At 39.1% G+C, this 8,376-nt stretch overlaps 1 long non-coding RNA gene across 1 annotated transcript in view; it reads left to right on the top strand.

Moving 5' to 3' along the window:
* LOC105369468 (uncharacterized) overlaps positions 1-3,808 on the top strand; it is a 383,452-nt gene extending 379,644 nt beyond the window's left edge. The window contains exons 5-6 of the long non-coding RNA XR_007062871.1: positions 1,368-1,459; positions 3,634-3,808. This is a non-coding gene — a long non-coding RNA (uncharacterized LOC105369468). The remainder of the gene's footprint in view (positions 1-1,367; positions 1,460-3,633) is intronic.
* Positions 3,809-8,376: the final 4,568 nt, after the last annotated feature.

Genomic DNA, 8,376 nt, shown 5'->3' with positions numbered 1-8,376 from the left:
CACCATGCCTGGCTAATTTTTTGTGTTTTTAGTAGAGACGGGTTTTCACATTGTTGGTCAGGCTGGTCTCGAACTCCTGACCTCAGGTGATCCACATACCACGGCATTTGCTATATTTCCCTTTTACAAACCTTAGAAATACCTTGAAAGCCTCATCTTGGGAATCTCAATAGTGCAGATACAAAATAAACATTACAAGTATTTTGTTGGTCACTTTAAAGATGGAGCTGAGCAAAGAAAGGCTGACCTGCCTTTTCCTTTCAATCCTCCAACTATATATCTTACTTCTTTTTTTTCTTTTTAAACGCCAACATATTGCCTTTGGTGGGTTGAAGAAAGACTAGTAGTGGCAAAATCATAATGAAACAAACTGCCAATGATAGATGGCATTTAAATCTTAGGTTTAAGGTGTAACTGAAGTAATGTGACATTAAGTGAACAACTCACAGATTCAATAAACTGTGTAGATGTGAAGAAGACATGGGCCATACTGCTATGTGAATTAAATGAAGAGACACAATCAACAAACTGAGAGAAAACTGGGGACCAGTTGGGGTCTATGTGGGTGTTCGTGGCATCTGTTTCTCCCAATCAATAACCTTTCTATTATGAAAGAAGTAGAGACACTGTGTCTCCTTAGGTCCTCACTCATTTTCTCTCCCGGTATGTGTCATAGTAGTTTCTCTAGGTACTTACCTGTTCCAAGATCCTTTGGGGGCTCATGTCTGAGGTTCTTCGATTTGAACCAGCCCTTTTTCAAAGCAGCTACTTCTTCCACAGAGTACATAGAACTCCACTGGCATTTTAAACACTATTATCCATTTCTTTTCTTTAATCCTTTGCTTCTTTGCTTGAAAGCAAGGAGCTGGATCCCTAATATATGCAAAAGTTCCTGGAGAGTAAAAGTCCTCTTCCTATCTGAACTTAGTCAATCAGTTGCCTTTGTGTTCATCTTATTGCTATAAATCTTTTCTTTATCCTTACTCTGTTTTTTTTTTATTCACAAAGACTCACATAATTGTGTATCTTTATCCCTTTATCCCTTCAAGAACAGAGTGTTACTATGAAACAGGTAGCCCGAGGCTTGAGTTCTCTCTCTGCTATTAATTTGTTGAGGAACTTTTTACACGTTACTTACACTCATGGTTTTCTTATCTGTAATATGAGCATAATAAAGTGTTTACACCATAGAAATGTTGTGAAGATTACATAAAATAATGTCTGTAAAATGTTAGCATAAGGTCTGTCATATAATGTGAGCTCAAATACTATTAGGTAGCAATTCTCATGGAGAATAATTGTGAAGTGCTCTAACTAATAATTGTGAAGTCCTCTAAATTTCCCTTGTCCCCATGGTTCATTCCTAGTCAGTGGTTCCTCTGCCTTGTTCCTCCTTCCAGTGGATTGCATATCCAGATAATGTTGAACTTGGGAGCCTTCATGCTTTGATCAGTAAAATGTGAGTTGAAATTATGGATATCACTTCAAAAAAGCTTTAAGTGCCTGTGCATAATTAGTAAAATATATATTTTTTTCTTTTTCATAATGACAAAGAGTATTCCAGAAAGAGGCTACTCCTTCAGCCCAGGTTCCAGAGTAAGGATGTCATGGTAGCCATCACAAACTACCTTAGACACAAGAGTATAGTAAGAAGTAAACGATTATGAGGTTTTGAAGTTATTTGTTTCTGCAGAGCTGTCTAGTAGATAATTCATCTTGCCCAGGTATTTGCCTTGACCGCCAATTCCTTATTTTGATGTTTACAATCAACTGGGGTCTGCTCTTTTCCTATACTTCCAAGGTTTTTTTTTAATTGTCTTGTCACACATTCACTTCATCATATAAATATACTTTTGCTCTCCCTGGGCCATAGTATGTATCTTCAGATATGACAAGTAACTGTGACAAACTGATTCATTATAAAACAAAAGAGCTAAAGGAGACCTGATGATAGAAGATGTCCTGTTTGCTAAGTAACAGTGATTTCTCTAGACAATGATTGTTGCCTAATTGTTAGAAATTTCTTGCAATCACTCTAGGTAAAAAGGAAGGCCAACTTGAATCCTGAAACTGGAATGTAGAGAATCTGATTTGGATTTAGGAACACATGCATGAAGGCCTGTATAAATCCTAATGCCCCAGGATATAAGTGATGATATCTTTAGCTTCTGTGATAGCTCTACCTCCTTGTAAGATGTCTTTCTATGTGATAAAGGAGTACAAATTTGCAGGTCAAATCTTAAAACTATTACTTTAAGAAACTGGTAGATAGGTGTTATTCAGGACAGCAATGGCAAAATCCAAGCGTAGTATTCATTCTATGCCCATATTAATGTAAAGTCTTGATTAACTTTGTGTAAAAATACACTAAAATTTAATCTAAGCCTTACCTTTGAAAAATTTGCCAATTCTTGGATAAAGAAAATGTGGCACATATACACCATGGAACGTTATATATCTATAAAAAAAAGAAATCATGTCTTCTGCATAAATATGGATGCAGCTGGAAGGCATTATCCCAAGTGAATTAATGCAGAAACAGAAAACCAAATACTCTACATTTCACTTGTAAGTGAGAGCTAAACCTTGGGTACTCATAGACATAAAGATGGCAACAATAGAAAATGGGAACTACTAGAAAGGAGAGGGGGCAAATGGGGACAAGGGTTGAAAAACTAACCTATAGGTACCATGCTCACTACCTGGGAGATGGGATTATTTGTAACCCAAACATCAGCGTGATGCAATATACCCAGGTAATGAATTTGCACATGTACCCCCTATATCTAAAACAAAAATTGGGAAAAAAGAAAAGATCATTTAACAATATAAAATAAAAATAAAAACCATGTCCTCTCTCGAAAGAAAATAACCTTGCCAACCTTCTTAACTCAATAAAAAATTAATTGTGAGGATCTTATGATGCCTACTACACTGCACAGGGACTTCTGCAAATTTCTTTTCCCTATAAATAAAATTTTCTGTTGATAAGAAGGTCATGCTTCTCTGGAAAGAGCTAAAAATTATGCCGCAGGTTTACATCTCATAGATGGTTACTCCATTTCCCTTTACAACTTGGGAACTGTGGGAGGGCAGGGGTGTAGGAAATGGTGTTGCATAAAGGCCACAGATAAGATGACATATCATTTTTGTACTAAACTGGGATAAATTTGAGAGTTAAAATGCAAGCTTATGCAGCAGAATACTAGGGCAACAGCTACATCAGTACACATGCTTATTATATTCATATAGAATGTAGAAATGGGATCAGAGCTGACAAGAATAACTAGAAAAATTTCTTTGGATGACAAAGTCACTTAACAGTCTACTACCACTTCAAGTTGCCAGAGATAAATCTGTCAGGCACTTTCCAAGACTGTGACAGAGACTGTGGTGATCACCCCAATATCCATCTCCCGTTTTTCTACAGTAACAGAACTTTCAGTTGGGTACCTGTCAGTCCAGCTAAAGTTTTTGTTTGTTTTTCCTATCACTTGACTTGAAGCTAGCTTTGGCCATATGACCAGGTTTTGTCCAACAGGGAATTAGTGAAATTTATGGGTACTATGTCTTGTCGTTGATTCAAACGTCATGAAATATAGCCTCTTCTTTCCCTTGCTTCATTTCTTCCAGCTTGAATGAATGGAAGTTGACATAAGCTAAAGGAATCATCTTACACCATGACAAAATGGAGTAAGGCTGGATCCCCAAATCTCCAATGTAACAAGCCTGGAACACTTATGTGTAGAATGCTCAGACTATTAGTTGAGAGAAAAATAAAATTCCATTTTGTTCAAGCCATTGATATGTGGACTCTGCCCAGTAGCCAACTGTGTATCCTAATGAATCCAGGGTGTCTTTACTTTAGTCCTCTCACCAGAGAGAGGTACAAAGCTGAGCTAGCTCCTTGCTTTAGCAACTTATTGGGCTAAGTGAGAGGAGTCAACCAGGTGCAGCTCATGAGCCACCATGAAATGTACTTGCTTAGAGACTGCTGTCTTCTAATCATTTTCTGAACTGTGCTCTAGGTTTTTAGAATGTACATAAATAAATAAATAATTATTTCTCGTTATTCACAATTCACATTTGAATGATTTAAGTCCTGTTTCCTCATTGAGTATGGCGTTTAATCTATAGCACAGAGTTTAATTTGAAGTGAGCACAACATGTAGCTGTCACAACCTGAATGTCGCCACCAAGAGCTGAGGTTCTACCATGTCAAGAACCAGTTCTTCCAGCACTTTTCTGCCCTCAGGATCCCAATCAAGAAAGAGGTCCTAATGAACTACCTCCAGCTATGACTTTCTCAGGACAAATAATGGTGGCTTTAACAAGGGAATCCTTTTAAATCTGGCTCTCTTTATTATGCTAGTAAATCCCTGAGGTAAAATAGAGGCAGGATGCTGGAAGTTCCTTCAGAGATGCTGTGAGATCATAGAAAGAGCACTGGGTTAGGAGCCAGATGACTGTTCTGTCTGATTTGGTTTCCACCTGTTACACACCATGTGACCCTGTGCATATGAGGAGGGTTAAGGGAGTGGGGTTGCTTATTTCAGGGTATACCTAAGGAGACACTAGTTACTTGAAATATTTGAACAGTTCCTAAAGACAAGAGGCACTATTTTATGAATTAGGATATCAGAAAAAGTTTTAAAACACGGAAATTACTAGGAGACAGTTTTGTATATGTATCATAAAGGATCTTGCTGGGCGTGGTGGCACACATCTGTAGTCCCAGCTACTCAGGAGGGAGGCTCCAGTGGGAGGATCTCTTGAGGCCAGGAGTCCAGGGATGCACTCAGCTATAATTGCACCACTATACTTCAGCCTAGACAGAGGAAATCCTGTCTGTAAAAAATAAGTATAAAAGAAAAGTAAATCTTCCGCATCTTTCTCGTAATTAGTCTTGTTTAAAATTTGATTTTCCTACATCTTGCTTCTCAAATTGTAAACTTCCTGATACAGGAAGTGTCCAAAATAGAGGGCTACAGCAGGATCTCCCTGGTATTCCTCTCAAAGTTTACTTATCTGAAAAACAGATTAATAATAAAAATACTTAACTAATTTATTTAAATCAGCTTTTGTGAATACCTAGCCTTCAGTATGTATTGTAATGCTCCTTGCAATTTGAAGACAATAATGCTAATAGACAATAAAAATAGGAATGCCTGAATGCAGCCAAAGACACTAGCGCACCTTCTTCCTGTGAGATTGCCAAATGAGATGCATACCCAGGAAACAATGACAAAGGCAAGAAACATACTTGCTGGTGCTTCAATCAAGATTTCTTCTGGAGGAGAAAGCAGAGCCAAGGCCAGGTGGGCCTGAACAATAGCTCTTTCATTAGCTCTTTGGTAAAGCCTGTCCCCTCCACAGGCTGGCATTATTGCCTCCAACACAAACATCTCGTTTACCAGCTTAAAGTCTCCCTACATGATGATGTAAGCTTGAGTAGATAATGGCAGTGATGTAACAAGAGTTCAACTTCCCTCTCACCTCTTGACAGGATACCTGAGGAGACTGGCCTGGGCAAAACCACAGGATAAGAGGATCCAGGGTAAAACTCCACACAGATGTACCACACCTAACCTCCTCTGCATAGACCCCTACTTCCAGTGAGTTCTGACCCAATTCATGAGCCTCTTGTATCTAGTGCTCGTGTTCAATCTCTCTCCAGGATCCTCTCCCCTTTCTATGATTCCGATGCTGCTGATTGTCTTTGCCGAGGAACAGGAAGGAAGACAAATGCCCCCAACTACTGCTTCATTCTGGAAGAAGTGTTGGAAGTCAATGGAAGGTAGAGGGAGCTGCTCGGAGGGAAACCTGAGAACTGTTTCTGAAGGAATTTTATCAGTCTTTCGGCAGAGTCTGACCACTGCTTTCCTACCTCCCCTGCTTGATCCTGCTGGATAGACTCAGAGAGCCAAGCCAACACAAAGGAGCTCAAGCACAATTCCTTACCTTCTTATTTTGTTAGCCCAGTCGGGGGAGCCCAGTAATCTCTAAAGGGAGTTGAAAAAGTAAGGGTTTACCTTTTGGCCAAGGCTTAAATTTCTCAAATGTGTTACGCCAACACAATACTCAGTTACATGTGTATATTTCCAAAGTGTCAAAGTTATTTAATGTGGTACCAAGGTTTTTGGATCTGAAAAATTAAAAAAAAAAAGAGTAGATGGTAGGTCAAGGGGTTCAAGCCCCGACTCAGACTAAACGGTGCACAGAAAGCCTAGACACAACCTAGACACATGCACAGTGGCTCATGCATGTAATCCCAGCACTTTGGGAGGCCAAGGTGGGTGGATCACCTGAGGTCAGGATTTCGAGACCAACCTGACCAACATGGTGACATTCCATCTCTACTAAAAATACAAAATTAGCTGGGCATGGTGGTGCATGCCTGTAATCCCAGCTACTTAGGAGGCTGAAGCAGGAGAATCAATTGAACCCCGGAGGTTCACTGATCACTGCTGTAGCACAGGCATGGGCAGAGACCAAGGCATACTGGCTTCCTCATCAGAACATATCATAATCCGCAGATAATGCTGGCTTCTATGAGTTGGAAGACTGTGAAACATTGAGACTGCAATAATTGATCCACTTAAACTTTTTATTAAAGTCTGAAAAGATTCGGCAATTATTATTACTGTGGTTGTACATCATGTCATTCTTAACTAGATTTTGTAAATGTCAAACTCTTAAAAGACTAAAATAATAAACAGCTACATTTACTCGATTAGCTAAAGTGAAGTGAAATATTCAAGCTAAATAGCTAAAAAGACAGAGCAATACTCATGCCCGTGAAAATTTAAAAGGATGTTTTCAATGAAATCTCACAGGCTCTTATTTGGTTGTTTTCATCATAGCCATTGCTTTGACCTAGCCCAGTGATAATTGCTGTAATATTTCAAGTGGTTTCAGTTTATGAAAGACTTTTTTTTTTTTTTAACTTGGGGAAGTGTTGTTTTTTTTTTTTTATTTTTAAGCAATTAACGTTTAGGTTAACACCAGGAAAAAATATCACCTATACTTCTACAATTTGGGGCCGTTTCTGAGATGCTAATTTCAGACATAAAATGATAAATAAGCACATAAGTGGAAAAGTAAATGATTAAATAAGTAATCCTAAGTCTGAGGGATACTCTAAGATTATGGATTGATATGACCATGTGTAACTTGATAGATCTAGTAGAGCAGAAAATAGTAGAAATTGGTTAACGAGCTTTCATTCATATTAGAACAAGATCAAACAAAACAGAATTAAATTGGAGACACAGACATTAACTCATGGCCCCTTTGAGGGAAGAAAAAAATGTTTCAGGATTGGCTAATCACCCTGCTTCACTGTACATATTCGTGTAAAAATTACAAGATGTATCTATATAAGCGTCTAAATAAATTGGAAGCAGCAAAAATTTTGTCTCTAACACTATTCCTCACCAAACATAATCATGCATGGTGGCAGGCACCTGTAATCCCAGCTACTTGGGAGGCTGAGGCTGGAGAATCGCTTTAACCCGGGAGGCGGAGGTTGCAGTGAACCGAGATTGCACCACTGCACTCCAGCCTGGGCGACAGAGTGAGACTCTGTCTCAATAAATAAATAAATAAATAAATAAATAAATAAATAAATAAATAAATAAAATAAAATAAAGTAAAAAGTAAAAACAGTAGGTAGCTGATTGTTCTAATATCAATAATTTATTTTATTTTATTTTTTTGAGACGGAGTCTTACTCTGTCACCCAGGCTGGAGTGCAGTGGCGCGATCTCCTCTCACTGCAAGCTCTGTCTCCTGGGTTCACGCCATTCTCCTGCCTCAGTCTCCTGAGTAGCTGGGACTACAGGCGCCCACCACCATGCCCGGCTAATTTTTTGTATTTTTAGTAGAGACAGGGTTTTTCACCGTGTTAGCCAAGATGGTCTCGGTCTCCTGACCTCGTGATCCGCCCACCTCGGCCTCCCAAAGTGCTGGGATTACAGGCCTGAGCCACCGCGCCGGCCTAATATGAATATTTAATTCCTCAAGATGTACACACGTCTGGAGGTCCACGGGGGTTTTCAAAACAGACAGATGTACATTTCTGCCTGCTTTTGCAAGGAAAGTTGATTGCTATATCTAATCACATGACCCAGTGGAGTGTGGGAAATCAGGGGAATCGAATTTCAATTGTGATCTTCATACCAAACTCAGTAGGAGAACGCCCTAGGTCAAAGAGTATGAAGTCAAATATGCTTAGAGACAGGGGATAGTTGAAGCAAGCCAGTTATGGCAACAATGTAGACTGCATTATTCCAAACACGCAGTAAGAATTTGTCCCCCTCCCAAAAAAAAGGTAAAAAAAATCAGAATCAGGGGATGGAAGATGAGATAAAACTC

This window comes from Homo sapiens, chromosome 11 (assembly GCF_000001405.40).
Source record: "Homo sapiens chromosome 11, GRCh38.p14 Primary Assembly".
Taxonomy (NCBI): domain Eukaryota; kingdom Metazoa; phylum Chordata; class Mammalia; order Primates; family Hominidae; genus Homo; species Homo sapiens.
The sequence above is the reverse complement of the archived record's forward strand: the minus strand, read 5'-3'. Positions and strand labels throughout refer to the sequence as shown.